Genomic DNA, 16,882 nt, shown 5'->3' on the forward strand with positions numbered 1-16,882 from the left:
TTTTCAAGGCCTGCTGTGGCAGCCTCACCCCACCAGCTTGCCAAGCACAAGCTGTGCCCTGCTGCTGTCTGTTCCCTGAACTAACCATGATCCTTCCCTCTTCAGGGCCTTTGAACAAGCAGCTCCCTCTGTCTGGAATCTCCCCACTCACTTGTCTTATCCTTCAGTTCTTTTTTTTTTTTTTTTCCTTTTTTTGAGACAGGGTCTTGCTCCATCACCCAGGCTGGAGTGCAGTGGTGTGATCATAGCTCGCTGCAGCCTTAACCTCCTGGGCTTAAGTGATCCTCCCACCTCAGACTCCCAAAGTGCTGGGATTATAGGCATGAGCCACCATGCTCAGCCTCCTTCAGTTCTCAGTTTAAACATTACATCCTCTGAGAAGCTCCAGTCGAGGTCAGGTCTCCTGTTGTGTGTTCTCAGAGTGCCCTGCACAGTTCCTTGGTAGCACTTATCACAGCGCTAAATTGATGAGGAACTCTATGGGAAATGATCTGTCTCATGTCTGTCTCCCCTGCTGGATGAAGCTTTGTGAGAATAGGGATTGTGTCTGTAATGTTCATTGCTATCTCTCAGCAAATACTTCTGGACCAAATGCTACTCACTGTCTGGGACACACACCCACCATGCTCTGGGTCTAGTGAAGGAGTCAGACAGGCACATGTGTGAGCACCAGTGACAGGCTGGCCCTGTCAGGTCCTGGCGACAAGCTAGCACAGGACGACACAGAGGAGGAAGCTCAAAGGGTTTGCCACATTAGCCTGCGTGCCCCCTCTGCCGCCATCCCCAAGGCTCATGATCCAGGGTCCTCTGCTGGCTGGTAGATGGGGGAGGCCATCACTGGGCAGGAGTACCAGCTGCCGGGCATTTGGCTTCATATCTTCCACTGACTCTTAATCTCTGGTTCCTAGATGCCACCCTTTCCCGTTTTCCACTGCTGCTGGGAATGCATTTGGGATTTTATTATTATTATTATTATTATTATTTTATAGTTCAGCAAGAATTAGAGAGGGAGGAGAAGGCTGTATGTGAAAATTGTGCCAGTTCACATTCTCAGAAAATATTTGCAACACAGTCACTGGCTGAAGGATTCGTAGATTGAGCAGAGAAAGAACTCTTTCCAATCAGTAAGAAGAAAACCATCGCAATAGAAAAAATATTGGGAGGCCGAGGCTGGTGGATCACTTGAGGCCAGGAGTTTGAGACCAGCTTGGCCAACGTAGTAAAACCCTGTCTCTACTGAAAATGCAAAACTTAGCCAGGCATGGAGGCGTGCACCTGTAATCCCAGCTACTCGGGAGGCTGAGGCACAAGAATCACTTGAATCCAGGAGGCAGAGGTTGCAGTGAGCTGAGATTGCGCCACTGCACTCCAGCCTGTCCAGGTGACAGAATGAGACTCCATCTCAAACAAACAAACAAACAAACATTTAAAAATGCCAACTTTGCTGGTAATCAGAGGAGAGGCATGTTAAGTTAAAACAACATTGAAATACCATTTCCTTCCTCAAGATTGGCACACATTTTGACATGACAATTTCTGTTGGCCAGAGTATGGGAAAACAGGTGTCCTCATAAACTGCTCTTGGGAGTGAAAATTGGTATCACAACTTTGGAGGATAATTTGACAGTAGGTGTCAAAAAAGATTTTATTATTTTTTTATTTTTTTTTGAGATGGAGTCTCACTCTGTTGCCCAGGCTGGAGTGCAGTGGTGCAATCTTGGCTCACTGCAACCTCCATCTCCCGGGTTCAAGTGATTCTCCTGCCTCAGCCTCCCGAGTAGCTGGGATTACAGGGATGCGCCACCATGCCCGGCTAATTTTGTATTTTTAGTAGAGACGGGGTTTCACCATGTTGGCCAGGCTGGTCACGAACTCCTGACCTCAAGTGATCTGCCCACCTCGGCCTCCCAAAGTGCTGGGATTACAGGTGTGAGCCACCACACCCGCCAGATGTCAAAAATTTTCATGGGCACAGCCCGTGATCCAGAAGTTCCGCTTCTCAATGTATACCCAAGATAAATGCTTGCATGAGGAGACATTTGCAGGAGTGTTTATTGCAGCCTTATTTGTAGTATTGGATGCCCCCCAAATGTTTGTCAGTGAGAAGGCACTGCCCCTGGGTCATGTGCACACCATGAGATGGAGCATTTGAGCCTCGGCTCGCTGGGACACATGGATTAGTGAAAAGGGCAGATTGCAGAACAGGATGGGCTAGTCTATTTCCATTCTTATGTTTAAAAAGAAAACTCAATCAACACCAGCCTGGGCAATGTGGCGAGACCCTGTCTCTACAAAAAATACAAAAAAATTAGCCAGGCATAGTGGCACGTGCCTGTGGTCCCAGCTACGAGGGAGGCTAAGGTGGGAGGATGGCTTAAGCCCAGGAGGTTGGAGTTTGCAGTGAGCTAAGATTACACCACTGCACCCCATCCTGAGTAACAGAACTAGACCCTATCTCAAAAAAGAAAGAAAAAGAAAACTCAAAACAAAAAAAGGAAACAGACAGGTAGTTGCCAGTGGCTGGAGTGGGAAGAGGATTTGATGATGAAGTGGCATGAGCGAATTTTCGAGGGTGATGGAATTGTTTTCTTTTTTCTTTTTGAGACAGAGTCTCACTCTGTCACACTAGGCTGGAGTGCAGTGGCATGATCTCAGCTCACTGCAACCTCTGCCTCTCAGGTTCAAGCAATTCTCCTGCCTTAGCCTCCCGAGTAGCTGGGATTACAGGCACCTGCCACCACGCCTGGCTAAGTTTTGCATTTTGTTAGTAGAGACGGGGTTTCACCATGCTGGCCAGTCTGGTCTCGAACTCCTGAACTCAAGTGATCCACTTGTCTCAGCCTCCCAAAGTGCTGGGATTACAGGCATGAGCCACCGCGCCCAGCCAGAATTGTTTTCTATCTTAATTGTGTTTAGAGGTTACAGAACTCTATGCATATATAAAGATTCATAGAATTGTTCACTAACATTGGGTGAATTAGAGTAAATAGATTATACTTGATTAAAAAAATGTTTATATATGCACACAAATACAAATATATTTCTTTCCCAAAGGCACAAATTATATATGTACAGATGCATGCCTTGGGCCTGATAATGACAGTTACACCTGACAGGAGGTGTGGGGTGGGAGGGGAACCAGGGTTAGGCTGGAGTGGTCAGTAGATGCTTTAGTTTTTTATACCATGTTTCAAACTTTTACAAGGAGAATATATTGAGATGTTATCTGTATAATTGAAGATTAATTTTAAAATTATATTCCTACCATTAGTATAGGCAAAATCCTATTTATAGGTTGCTGCTTTTATAATTCAGAGACTGATCCTGTTCTCAAAACAGGATAACTAAATAGAAGGACCATTCAAAAAATACCTGTGTGCCAGGCGCAGTGGCTCACGCCTATAATCCCAGCACTTTGGGAGGCCGAGTCGGGTGGATGCTTGAGCTCAGGAGTTTGAGACCATCCTGGGTAACATAGCAAGACCTTGTCTCTACCAAAAATACAAAAAATTAGCCAGGCATGGTGGTGCGTGCCTGCAGTCTCAGCAACTTAGGAGGCTGAGGTGGGAGGATCACTAGAGCCCAGGAGGTCGCGGCTGCAGTGAGCTGAGATTGTGCCACTGCACTCCAGCGTGGGCAAGAGTGAGACTCCATCACAAAGAAAAAACTTGTGTGGGCCGGGCGCAGTGGCTCATGCCTATAATCCCAGCACTTTGGGAGGCCGAGGCAAATGGATCACCTGAGGTCAGGAGTTCGAGACCAGCTTGGCCAATATGGTGAAACCCTGTCTCTATTAAAAATACAGAAAATCAGCCGGGTGTGGTGGTGGGTGCCTGTAATCCCAGCTACTCAGGAGGCTGAGGCAGGAGAATTGCTTGAACCCAGGAGGTGGAGGTTGCAGTGAGCCAAGATTGTGCCATTATTGCACTCCAGCCTGGGCAACAAGAGCAAAACTCCGTCTCAAAAAAAAAAAAAAAAAAGAAGAACCTAACTCTTGTGTATATGTGTATTGCTGTTTAATTACATCAATAATAAATTAATTAATTAAACACCAATAATTACATTACATTATTGATGTTTAATACCTGCTCCTTGTTATAAATTTAAACAATACAGACAATTACAAACCAAGTGAATGTCAACCCTTCCACCCTGCACTCCCGTTGCCTGGAGGTAGTCATCATTAACTGATTAATGACTGTCCTTCTTGACCTTTGACTCAATACCTTCACACATATGCTCAGAGTTGAGTTTTCTTGATGATGTTTTTGCAAAAGTAGAATCATGCTACACACAGGTGAGGGATCTCACACATTCGCCCCATTGGCGGTTGTGTAATAGTCCACTGTATGGATGCACCATGACTTACGGACAGATGTTGATAGATGTATGAGTTATTTCCAGTGTTTTTGCTCTTTTGAATAATTCTGCAGGAAGTTGTACCCACACCTTTGTGCACTGTGAGTATTTTGGTGGACTGGAACCGGGTGCTGTAGGTGTGTTACGCAGACATCCATGGGCATCAGATATCCCATTTCCTGCTCTGCTCTTCAGACCACCATCCCTGCTCAGGGCTGCATCCCAGAACTGTCTTGAAGAGCCCCTCCTACAGTGCCATGCACACAGTGACAGCCCAGGGGTTCTCATCAGGTGTCCACTGGAACCACCTGGTGCCCTTGATCAATACGGATCCCCTCATCCCCCGACCCCACCATTCTGAGGCAGTGGTCTGGGGTGGGCCAGAGTTTGTATAACATCAGGCCACCCGGGGGTTCCTGGTGCCCATGCCAGGGAGAACCACTGCTGCCACCCTCTCTTGACCACTGTCTTTTTTTCCTCCCAGAACAGGTTCTCAGACTATGAGAAGAGGAAGGTAAGAAAATGCCTTTACCCTTCTGTCACTCTTTTCTCATTAAAGATCTCAACTCAACTCATAAAATATTTGAGAAAATGACTTCTTCCCAGCTCAGAATTAGAGGTCACAGTAATGCCTTCCTCTTACACGCAGTCTGCTGCATCCTCACATGCCTCAGGTGGGTGGTAGAGCATCCATGGGACAGGTGCAGAGACTGAGGCTCAGAGGGGTTGAGCCCAGCACCGGGCTCTAGACCACTAGCCTCTTCCTGTGAACAGCTTGTTTTCTTACAGTTGGGCCCTGGAGGGGAGTGGGGGTTGCTCAGCATGAAGACCTGGAGCCTGCCCTGTCAGTGTTGAGGGGTGGATTCTCCCGACTTCTGTGTCCTAACTCCCCCAGGGCCTGTGCTGACAGTCACCAGGATCTGTGTCTTGCAGGAACAGAAGATGCTGGAGAAACTCGAGTTTGAACGGCGCCTGGAACTGGGGCAGCGGGAGCACACCCAGCTCCTTCAGCAGAGCAGCAGCCAGAAGGATGAGATCCTTCAGACGGTCAAGGAGGTTTGTGAGCCGCCTGCTAGGGTCCAGCCTGGCTGCATCCCCCAGCCAGTGGCCTCCTGGCTTGGGCCAAGGTCCCTCGGATGTGGAAAGGCAGTGGGATGAAGCTGTCACTTCCTTCTGTCCCCCAGCACCTGGGAGGGCCCTTACAGATCACCCAGCCCAGCCTCCCCGTGTGCAGATGGACACTGTAGCCTACTGGGAGGAGCTGGCCGGAGGTCACACAAAAAGGATTGGCAAGGCAGGGTGGGAAAGCCAGCCTCCTAACCCCAGTCAGTACCCCTCACGGCGTCTGAGGGGGTCCCAGGGGCTCAGGACCCCTACCTCCGGCTGCAGGAGCAGTCCCGGCTGGAGCAGGGCCTGAGTGAGCACCAGCGCCACCTCAACGCAGAGCGGCAGCGGCTGCAGGAGCAGCTGAAGCAGACGGAACAGAACATTTCCAGCCGGATCCAGAAGCTGCTGCAGGACAATCAGAGGTTGGGCTCTGCTCCTCGGCCCCAGCCCCAGAGTCCTTCCCCGTGCAGTCCCCTGAGGAGCCGGGAGGAGTGTGTTTCTCCCTCACTGCCTCTGCCCCTGCCCCGGGCTTCCCTTGTCAGGATCCAGTCTGGGTGCTTCAACTGGCACCAGCGTAGAGAGAAAAGAATCTGACCCAGTCATTACAAAGTCTGGTTTCTTAGCATGAGACTGCTACCAGATTGGACCTGTGGCCTCGGGCAAATGTTTCCCCACTGGGCCCCAAGCTTCCCATCTATAAAGTGAGTGGGTTTGACAAGATAGTTGGGATCACATCCTGCTCCAGTATTTTGGGTTCTGCGTAACCCGTTGCACTGAGGTCAGCTGTTCACCTGTAGTGAGATTTGCCTTAACAAACCCTGTGCAAGGTACGAGCTAGTAAGAGCAGATCTTGATGGGGCTGGGGAGACATGGCGCCAGAAAAGCCTGAGAAGTCTAGTGAGGGGGCCCATTGCAGGATGATTCCAGAAACAGGCTCCAGCCATATGCCCTGCCACTTCCAGGCCTCTTTTTTCTAACCCTGAATCACTCGTTCCTCCCTCACCTGTCAGTTTCAAAAGTACCTGCATGAGTTCAGGAAACCAGTCATTTGTTGGATGCTTCTTATGTGCCAAGCTTGTTACATCTATTTCTTCATTAAGTCTTTACAAATGCACCAAGAAGCTGGGTTGTTTTCATTTTGTTTTGTTTGAGACAGAGTCTCGCTGTGTCACTGAGGCTGGAGTGCAGTGGTGTGCTCTCGGCTCACTGCAACCTCCTTCTCCCAGGTTCAAGCAATTCTCTTGCCTCAGCCTCCCAAGGAGCTGGGACTACAGGCTTGGGCCACCACGCCTGGCTAATTTTTGTAGAGATAAGGTTTCTCCATGTTGACCAGGCTGGTCTCGAACTCCTGACCTCAAGTGATCTATCCACTTCAGCCTCCCAAAGTGCTGGGATTACAGATGTGAGCCACTGTGTCTGGCTGGGTTTTTTTATTCTTCTAATTTCATAGGTGAGGAAACCTGGGACTTGAGTGGTTTCAGTAACTGGCTAAGAACCCAGAGCTTCAAGGTGGTGGAGCCAAGGTGCCCCCAGCCCATTTCCTAAGCCCCTCTGCACAGCTAACGCAGTGAGACAGGAAACAGGCCTGCTGGTGACTGCCAGGACCTTTTATGATTTTCTCCACAGACAAAAGAAAAGCTCCGAGATTTTGAAATCGCTGGAAAATGAAAGGTAAGTGTTCTTCCAGGGGAGGGCAGCATTTTTTTTTTTTTTTTGAGACGGAGTCCTGCACTGTCGCCAGGCTGGAGTGCAGTGGCACAATCTCGGCTCAGTGCAACCCCCGCCGCCCAGGTCCAAGCAATTCCCCTGCCTCAGCCTCCCGAGTAGCTGGGACTATAGGCGCATACCACCACCAGCTAATTTTTTGTATTTTAGTAGAGACGGGGTTTCACCGTGTTAACCAGGATGGTTTCGATCTCCTGACCTCATGATCTGCCCGCCTCGGCCTCACAAAGTACTGGGATTGCAGGCGTGAGCCACTGCTCCCGGCCAAGGAGAGCAGCTTTGAGGGGAGAATGTCTTGTGATTCTCCAGAGGATTATGCCAGGACATTTCCCTAAAGCTATAAGGAGATTCACCTCCTTAGACGATATTTAATTACAAAGAATCATTGTCTTCAAGTTCATTAAAACATACGTACACTCCTGAAAAACATTCAGAGACATGAATAAGGCTAGATATATAATGTCCAACTATATTCCTAGTATAAAAAGTTCAGGCCAGGCGCAGTGGCTCACATCTGTAATCCCAGCACTTTGGGAGGCCGAGGTGGGCAGATCACTTGAGGTCAGGAGTTTGAGACCATCCTGGCCAACATGGCAAAACGCTGTCTCTACTAAAAATCAAAACTTAGCCAGGAGTGGTGGCAGGCGCCTATGGTTCCAGCTAAAAAAAAAAAGAAATTCAGAAAAAAAATCTAAATTTCTGGAAAGAAAAATTATTTAGTTACATAAATTATGTATGGAGGAATAACCTGCAGCCATTAAATGTCTTATTGAATAATATTTCTCATTAAGGGAAAACATAACATATTGCTAATGGAAAAAGTGACAGGCTATATTTATAGCAGAATTTTTAGTATATCTTTTTTTTTTTTTTTTTTTTGAGACGGAGTCTCACTCTGTCACCCAGGCTGGAGTGCAGTGGCACGATCTCGGCTCACTGCAACCTCCACCTCCCAGGTTCAGGCGATTCTCCTGCCTCAGCATCCCGAGTAGCTGGGATTATAGGCGCATACCACCAGGTCCGGCTGATTTTTGTATTTTTAGTAGAGATGGAGTTTCACCATGTTGGCCAGGCTGGTCTCAAACTCCTGACCTCAAGTCATCCGCCTGCCTCAGGCTCCCAAAGTGCTGGGATTACAGGTGTGAGCCACCGCACCCGGCCATGTGACTATTTGTGAAGGAAATATTTAAAGGACATTTTGCTAGGTGCCAACTTACCTTCCCAAAAACATTCTGCCAGTTTACACTCCTCTCAGCAGTGTAGGAAAGTGCCCATTTCTCCACCACCATCACCATCACAAACAGTTACCAGTTTTCTTACTGTCAACCAACCTAGTAGGTGAAAAGATTTTACTTTCTTTAGTTACCAGTAATGTTAAGCATCTTTCCAGATGTTTATTGATCACTTGAATTTCAGCATTGGCTATTTGCTTCTTTTGCCCATTTTCTAAGGGAGCGTCCATCTTTTTACACAAGATACTCGAACTACAGGCTGAAGGCGAACAGAGGGCCCCAAGGGTTGCTTGTGATGCGGTAGGCATCCAGAGAGCCCATCTAGGTGTAGGTTGCCAAATCAAGGAGGCCTTCCTGGAGGAGGTGGTGTTCATCTGCTGGGATTCCCTGTTGGAAATGTTAAATTTGCTGAATGAATGGATGGATTTTTTTCTAGAATAAGAATGGAACAGTTGATGTCCATAACCCAGGAGGAGACTGAGAGCCTGCGGCGACGTGACGTTGCCTGTGAGTTTTGGGATGGGGAGCTTGTGAGCACGCTGCCTGCTGGCTGGGCTGGCAGGGTGGATGGCCCTCCCTCTGTTGGCCATGCATGGAGGGCCCTGAGTGTTAGCCCTCGAGAGGGGCAGTCAAGTCCTGCCATGGAGCACAGGCTCTGGGGTCAGCCTAGATGTGGATGCAGAGTCCCAGTTCAAACACCCACCATGTGACCTTAGGGACATTACTGCTTACTGCTCCCCAACTTTTCCAAGGCTCGGTTTTCTTAGCTATAAAATGGAGGAAATGGGCCAGGTGTCGGGGCTCATGCCTGTAATCCCAGCGCTTTAGGAAGCCGAGGCTGGAGGATCACATGAGCCCAGGAGTTCAAGGCTGCAGTGAGCTGTGATCACACTACTGCACTCCAGCCTGGGTAATACAGCGAGACCATTTCTCAGAAAAAAAAAAAAAGAAAGTCCAAATGCCCCCAAATAGAGGATTGTTTAAATAAATGTTGGTGATCCATATGCTGTGGCACTCTGCAGTATTAGCATCCCATTAGCATGTTATCAGGGGGAGTGTTCATAAAAATGGGAAGTGGGATGATACCATTTTCATTTTTTTAATTGTAAAATATGCATCATGTAAACTTTACCATCTTAATCACTTTATTTTATTTTATTTATGTTTTGAGACAAAGTCTCGCTCTGTTGCTCAGGCTGGAGTACAGTGGTGCGATCTTGGCTCACTGCAACCTCCGCCTCCCAGGTTTAAGCGATTCTCCTGCCTCAGCCTCCGAGTAGCTAGGATCACAGATGCACACCACCACACCAGGCTAATTTTTGTATTTTTAGTAGAGATGGGGTTTTGCCATGTTGGCCAGGCTGCTCTTGAACTCCTGACCTCAAGTGATCGCCTGCCTCAACCTCCTGAAGTGCTGGTATTACAGGCGTGAGCCACCGTGCCTGGTCTTCATTTTAAAATATATTAGTTCTGTGGCATTATTGTTGTACAACTGCCACCACCATCCATCGCCAGAACTTTTTCATCTTCCTCAACTGAAACTGTCCCTAGTAAACACTAACTCCCCGTGCCCCCCTCCCCTCAGCCCCTGGGAATCAACATTCTACTTTCTGTGTGTGGATTTGAGTGTTATAAGTACCTCCTATATGTGGAATCATACAATATTTCTCCTTTTGTGTCTACCATATTTCACTTAGCATAATGTCCTCGGGTTCATCCATGTTATAGCATGTGTTTGAATTTCTTTCCCTTTTTTTTTTTTTTTTTCCTGCTTCTTTATTTCTAAACACTGGCCCACCAGGGAAAAATTTTCTTCCTTTTTAATAGTAAATAACGTTGCATTTCCTGTATATGCCACATTTTCTTTTTTTCTTTTTTCCTTGCTCTGTCACCAGGCTGGAGGGCAGTGGTGTGAACCTGCTCACTGCAGCCTCCACCTCCTGGGCTCAAGCAGTCCTCCCACTACAGCCTCCCAAGTAGTGGGGACTACAGACACATGCCACCTCACCTGGCTAATTTTTTTTTTTTTTGAGGTAGGGTCTCACTCTGTTGCCCAGGCTGGTCTCAAACTCCTGGGCTCAAGCAGTCCTCCCACCTTGGCCTCCCGTAAGTGCTTATATTACAGGTGAGCCGCCATGTCCAGCGTCTACATTTTCTTTATCCATTCATCTATCAGTGGGAATGTGGGTTGTTTCCACTTTTTGACTCTTATGAATAATGCTACAAATGTGTGTGTACAAACATCTATTCTAGTTCCTTCTTTCAATTATTTTAATTTTTTGATTTTTCTTTTTTTCTTTTTTTTTTTTTTTTGAGATAGGGTCTTGCTCTGTTGCCCAGGCTGGAGTGCAGTGGCATGATCTCAGCTCACGCAACCTCTGCCTCCCGGGTTCAAGCGATTCTCCTGCCTCAGACTCCCAAGTAGCTGGGATTACAGGCACCTGCCACCATGCCCGGCTAATTTTTGTATTTTTAGTACAGACACAGTTTCGCCATGTTGGCCAGGCTGGTCTCGAACTCCTGACCTCCGGTGATCCACCTGCCTTGGCTTCCCAAAGTGCTGGGATTACAGGCATAAGCCACCACGCCTGGCCTATTTTAATTTGTTTAATTCCTAAATGCATAAAAACTGACTAGAAGAATATATATCAAAATGGAATAATATTTCTGGATGACAAGATCACAGGAGATGTTATGTATGTGCTATTCAGTGTTTTACAATTAGCCTTCCAAGCATACGTTGCTTTTATAGTTAAAAAGAACAGGCCGGGCGCAGTGGCTCACCTGTAATCCCAGCACTTTGGGAGGCCAAGGCGGGTGGATCACGAGGTCAAGAGATCGAGACCATCCTGGCTAACACAGTGAAACCCTGTCTCTATTAATAATACAAAAAATTAGGCGGGCGTGGTGGCAGGCGTCTGTAGTCCCAGCTACTCGGGAGGCTGAGGAGGAGAATGGCGGGAACCTGGGAGGCAGAGCTTGCAGTGAGCTGAGATCGCACCACTGCACTCCAGCCTGGGTGACAGAGTGAGACTGCATCTCAAAAAACAAAACAAAACAAAAAGGAACAAAGGGTTTTTTTTAAGATAACTATCAGGTAGGTAACCAGGTGAGGCCTCAAGGCCTGTTCCTCAGTTCCTGTGGAAATCCCTGCTGCCTCCCTGCCCAGGTGCCCCAGGAGCAGCCACTCCACTCAGCTGTCCCCACCTCATGTTCCCACAGCCGCCATGCAGCAGATGCTGACTGAGAGCTGTAAGAACCGGCTCATCCAGATGGCCTACGAATCTCAGAGGCAGAACTTGGTCCAGCAGGCCTGTTCCAGGTAAGGTAAGGAAGAGGAGTCCCAGGTGAGGGAGCTGGGGGAGCTGGCTCAGGGCCCAAGACCGTGGGATGAGAGCTGGGCACTAAACCTCCCGCCCTGGGCCACCCCAGCCTCTGCTCTGCTGTTAGGGGCAAGTGATGGCTGCTCTTCCTGAGTTTTCTAGCCGGATCCATGATTCAGTGTTGGGCTGTGTTAAAGTGGTAACAGTCATTCCCATTTCTTGTGCACTTCCTGTGTGGCAGGCACTCGGCTAAGCGATGAACCACATTCGCTGATTGATTCTAGGAGGGACTGTATTGTTATTAGCCCGATTTCACAATCGCAACTCAGGTTCTGAGAAACTGTATAACGCACCCAAGGAAGCAAGCCAGCAGGTGGCGGAGCCAGGATTTGAGCCCGGCAGAGGGGAGGGGTGTGCTCTTGACTGTGGTACACTCATCAGTGTCTGAGGACCCCCACGGTTGGGGGTGGGATGCCCTGGAAGGATAAGTGAAGGGGTTGCTTTCATGCTGATGGCTGCTCTGGGGTCCGGCTCCCTGTGCTCACTGGGCACTGTGGGTTTGTTGGAGGTTCCACAGGTGCCCAGCAGAGCCAGTGGGGAAAACTCAGTGCTCAGGAGCCCCAGACAGGGACAGGCCAGCAGCCCTGGATGCCCTGTTTTTCCTCCCATGCATGTGGCTGGCACTGCTGCCACCCTCCAGGGCGCCTGGACTGTGCGGGCCTCCCCTGGGTCCCTGCAGATGTGGGAATTTCTCCCCCCTTTCCTGATATGTGACACTGTGCTTAGGAGTTGCAAGCGCAGGGGTCAAACAGACCTGGATCCAGGTCCCACTTCTGCTTACTAACCGTGAGGTCTCAGGCAAGTCTCTTTCCTTCTTTGGGCTTCAAATTCCTTATCAGATAAATCATAGTACCTACCTGTAGAGTTGGTGGAGAATTTGATGAGTGTTGATGAGCATAATCTCTAGTGCATAAAGGTCCAATAAATATTTGCTATTGTTGTGAAGCAGGGACCTCACTGGGAAAAAACAGTTGCTATTATGAAATAAACAAAGCCAAGATGGTGGCTGGGCGCAGTGGCTCACGTCTGTAATCCCAGCACTTTGGGAGGCCGAGGTGGGTGGATCACCTGAGGTCGGGAGTTTGAGACCAGCCTGGCCAACATGGTAAAACCCCGTCTCTACTAAAAATACAAACAATTAGCCAAACGTAGCAGTGGGCGCCTGTAATCCCAGCTACTTGGGAGACTGAGGCAGGAAAATTGCTTGAACCTGGGAAGTGGAGGTTGCAGTGAGCCACGATCACACCACTGCACTCCAGCCCGGGTGACAGAGCAAGACTCTGTCTCAAAAAAAAAAAAAAAAACAACCAAGATGGTGCCAAAGCACAAACATACGTGAGGCTGCAGGTTCTTGTGCCCAAGTCAAGGGCTGCTCCTTGCTCCCTGCCCAGGGTGAGAGTGCCGGGAAGGACAGCTTTGTCATACTTCGGTGGCTCACCACCCATGGGAGTCAGGAGCTCCCCACCCATGGAGGTGGCTGGGCAGAGGCAGGCATCCACTTCCGGGGGGTGCTGGGGAGGGGATTCTGGTGGCAGGTTGGGTGAGAGGACCTGGAAGCATCTCTCTCCCAGCTCCCAACTCGATCCCCTTCCCTCCAGGCCATGGGATTCAGACAGACTCAGTGTCTGTGGCCCACCCAGGGCCCGGCTCCCAGCAGGTACTCCATGAATGTGGTCCACTGAAGAAATGGGTTATCTTGATCTCCTCCAAGGGGCCTGGCACATAGTAGGTGCTCGGGAAACGTTCCAAGAATGAATGAATTTGCTGTCTTTCTGGCAGCATGGCCGAAATGGATGAACGATTCCAGCAGATTCTGTCGTGGCAGCAAATGGATCAGAACAAAGCCATCAGCCAGATCCTGCAGGAGGTGAGCCCTCGCCCAGAGCCTGAGGGTGGGAGCTCAGGAGGGAGGTTCAGGAGCCAGGGCAGAGTGCAGAGCTCCACACGGAGCCCTTCCTAGACAGCATGTGGGACCACAGAGGTTTGTGACCATAGAGGTGTACAAGTGATCAGGGTGAGGGGTGGGAGAGGCTGAGGGGGGGCCCGGGGGATGGTCTTCTGGTCACTAAAATCCACAGAAGCACCTCCACCTGCTCTCTGGCAGGCTCCTACCCCCATCCTGTGTAGGAGGCTCCATTGGAAGGACTTAAGTGGCAGGAGGTGATGGTGACCACACCATGGAGGTCAGGGCACAGAGGACGCTGTGGGACCTCTGGCCTCTTCTCATGTCCAGACCTGCTGTGCTGCTATCTGCTCTTCCATCTCTGCGGTGCTCAGGAGGTGCCTGGCAGGGCTCTTGAGTGGATGAAACGAAGGGCCCCTGTGACCTCCTCCCCTTCGGTGTCCATATTACTCTGTTTAGCGTTTTTGTTTTCTTTTTTTGAGATGGAGTTTCCCTCTTGTTGCCCAGTTTGGAGTGCAGTGGTGCGATCTCGGCTCACTGCAACCTCTGTCTCCCAGGTTCAACTGATTCTCCTGCCTCAGCCTCCCAAGTAGCTAGGATTACGGGCACCCACCAACACGCCCAACTAATTTTTGTATTTTTAGTAGAGATGGGGTTTTGCCACGTTGGCCAGGCTGGTCTCGAACTCCTGACCTCAGCTGATCCACCCACCTCGGCCTCCCAAAGTGCTGGATTTACAGGCATCAGACACCGTGCCCAGCCTGTTTAGCTTTTTATTTTCCTTTTTTTCTTTTCTTTTCTTTTTTTTTTTTTAAGACAAGGTCTTGCTCTGTTGCCCAGGATGAGTGAAGTGATGTGATCACAGTTCACTGCAGCCTCAAACTCCTGGGCTCAAACGATCCTCCCACCTTTGCCTCCTGAGTAGCGGAGACCACAGGGCCACCATGCCCAGCTAATTTTTTTTTATTTTTTGTAGAGACAGAGTTTCCCTATGTTGCCCAGGCTGGTCTCAAACTCCTGGGCTCAAGCAATCCTCCTGCCTCGGCCTCCCAGAGTGCTGGGATTACAGACATGAGCCACCGGCCTGTTCAGCTCTTTCCTGCAGCCCCGTGGGAGTCTTGCCGCTGCCTCCCTTCTTCCCTCGCCTTTCTCCCCTGTCCTCTGCGTGTTTGTCATCCCACCCTGCTCCTTTCTCCCTAATTTCAATCTCTGTTCTAAAATGGTTTGACTTAGTATCTGTGGAGCTTGTCTGAGGAAAATTCTCCATTTCTCAGAGGAGGCATCTGCCTTGTGGTTAAGTGGGGCTCGGGAGCTGGATAGGCTTGGTGTGTGTCCCAGCGCCGCTGATTCATGCCTCTGAGTGTCACTCCCCATCTGTGAAGTGGGGCAGTAAAAGCACCCCCACGGTCCACTGTGGTGGAAACTCAGGGTGCGATGCCGGAAGTGCATCAGGTAGAGGCTGCCCGAAGTGAGCCCCTAGTACCATCTTAAGGTTTACACAAGTGAGGTGAAATCTTCTCCCTCTCTCAGAAAAAACCCATCCATTAAGGTGCTTTGTACACAGCTTTTGCTTTTCACAGGGATGGGGCTGCAGGGAAAAGTGTGGGCACGGCCCCTGCTGAGGGCTGGTGGTCTGTGTTGCAGAGCGCGATGCAGAAGGCTGCGTTCGAGGCACTCCAGGTGAAGAAAGACCTGATGCATCGGCAGATCAGGAGCCAGGTGAGCGCTGGGGCTGGGGTCCCTGGACCTGCTCTCTCAGAGACTTGCAGAGTGGCCCTCCAGGGCGGCAGGTCGCAGCAGTTGAGGTTTGAACCCCAGCTCCTTGGCTTGCTAGCCCAACAAGAGGTCGAGGCCTTGCCCTCAGAACCTCCCTTTGCTCCCAGCCTTGTGTCGGGGCTGCTGGGAGGGTGTCTAGAGACCTCCTATTCCGGGGTCTGGCGAGGGTCTTGCCAGCGAGGCGGGTCTCCACCACGCCTGGGCCAGGGAGGCTGGTGCTGATGTGTGGCTTTGACTGCTCCAGCTGCCTCTGCTGTCCCTGCTCCAGGCAGGACTTCCCCACTGGGAAAAGCAGCCGGCGCAGGCCCCAGCGCTCCTACAGCTCAGACAGACAGAGGCGTCTCAGGGGCATATAGTATTTCCCCCAGAAGAGGGCAGGGGGAGCTGTGAGCCACGGTGGTCCTGACGCCTGCTGAAAAGTGACCTCGGCCCAGGAGGAGGCGGTCCTCCTCTTAGACCCTCCCTCATGTGACAAGATACCCCCCACCCCCCGCAGGCCGGCTGCTGACCTTCAAGCCTTGGGCAAGCCCACCTACACGGCTTGGTGGTCACCGCCTGTGGAGTGGGGCTGGGGCTGGGGCTGAAGTGAGCGTCAGGCTATGGGAGTACTCCTGCATCATGTTCAGCACACTGAATTTTGCATTTTTGCATGGTTTTTTTCTTTCTCTATTTTTCTTTCTTTCTTTCTTTCTTTCTTTCTTTTTTTGGACCAATTTACCTTTTTAATTTCCCTCTTTAATTTCAATTCCACATTGCCGGACATGAAGCTCATTCCTCTGACCAGGGGTTGGTGGTGTCATAGGGACTTAGGGATGAGGGTCACAGGGTCATGGGCACAGGATAGAGAAGTACTGGCTATGGGGTCTGACCCCCACCCCTGCCCAGGGCTAAAATCCCCTAGACACACCCTGGAGAGCCTGTGAGGGCCCCCCACATTCTCACTGCAGATGGTTTTGACCAGGTCAGCTATTGCCCTTAAACCCTGAGCTGAGGCATCCCAGAGAAAGGGATCTCTCCCTTACCTGCTCTGTGTCCTTGAGCAAGTGAGAACCTCTCTGAGCCTCAGTTTTCTTGTCTATAAAATGGAGGCAATAATACCTCCTAGCAGCCAGAGAATTGATGAAATATGATACATCAAGTGTGCAGCACAGGCCTAGCACATAGTAGGTGCTCAAGACATACCAGCTACTACTACCACTGTTACTCAGTCACTTCCACTACCCTCTGCTCTCCCCTGCAACAGCGATGCGAGGGACAAGAGAACTTGACCAGCAGGAGACTGGGTGATAGCTCTGTCTGTGCTTTACTCTGGCCTGAATCCCCAAGGAAAGCCCCCTCTCCATTGCACAAGCCTTTATCCTGATCCCACTCTAGGAGAGATCCTGTGCTGGCCTCTT

At 50.0% G+C, this 16,882-nt stretch overlaps 1 protein-coding gene across 11 annotated transcripts in view, besides 2 other annotated features; it reads left to right on the forward strand.

The window, feature by feature from the left end:
• The window catches only part of LRSAM1 (leucine rich repeat and sterile alpha motif containing 1), a 52,016-nt gene that overhangs the window by 22,605 nt on the left and 12,529 nt on the right, over nt 1–16,882 (forward strand). For 8 of the 11 annotated variants that reach the window (NM_138361.5, XM_047424058.1, NM_001384142.1 and 5 more), the window contains 8 exons: nt 4,844–4,873; nt 5,293–5,415; nt 5,749–5,888; nt 7,093–7,137; nt 8,860–8,930; nt 11,646–11,745; nt 13,586–13,673; nt 15,354–15,428. In NM_138361.5, coding sequence (NP_612370.3) covers nt 4,844–4,873; nt 5,293–5,415; nt 5,749–5,888; nt 7,093–7,137; nt 8,860–8,930; nt 11,646–11,745; nt 13,586–13,673; nt 15,354–15,428 — 672 coding nt within the window. Of the gene's footprint in view, nt 1–4,843; nt 4,874–5,292; nt 5,416–5,748; nt 5,889–7,092; nt 7,138–8,859; nt 8,931–11,645; nt 11,751–13,404; nt 13,674–15,353; nt 15,429–16,882 lie in introns of all 11 variants that reach the window. The other 3 variants (NR_168892.1, NR_168891.1, NM_001384144.1) reach the window with 3 other exon arrangements.
• Nucleotides 15,021–15,601: an enhancer, noted in NCBI's record as "H3K4me1 hESC enhancer chr9:130251390-130251970 (GRCh37/hg19 assembly coordinates)". NCBI's record gives its function as "activates a minimal SCP1, AML or CMV promoter by ChIP-STARR-seq in naive H9 embryonic stem cells {active_cell/tissue: H9 hESC(naive)}" and the evidence as "EXISTENCE:reporter gene assay evidence [ECO:0000049][PMID:30033119]".
• Nucleotides 15,602–16,182: an enhancer, noted in NCBI's record as "H3K4me1 hESC enhancer chr9:130251971-130252551 (GRCh37/hg19 assembly coordinates)". NCBI's record gives its function as "activates a minimal SCP1, AML or CMV promoter by ChIP-STARR-seq in naive H9 embryonic stem cells {active_cell/tissue: H9 hESC(naive)}" and the evidence as "EXISTENCE:reporter gene assay evidence [ECO:0000049][PMID:30033119]".

This window comes from Homo sapiens, chromosome 9, assembly GCF_000001405.40.
Source record: "Homo sapiens chromosome 9, GRCh38.p14 Primary Assembly".
In the NCBI taxonomy this organism is placed as follows: Eukaryota; Metazoa; Chordata; class Mammalia; order Primates; family Hominidae; genus Homo; species Homo sapiens.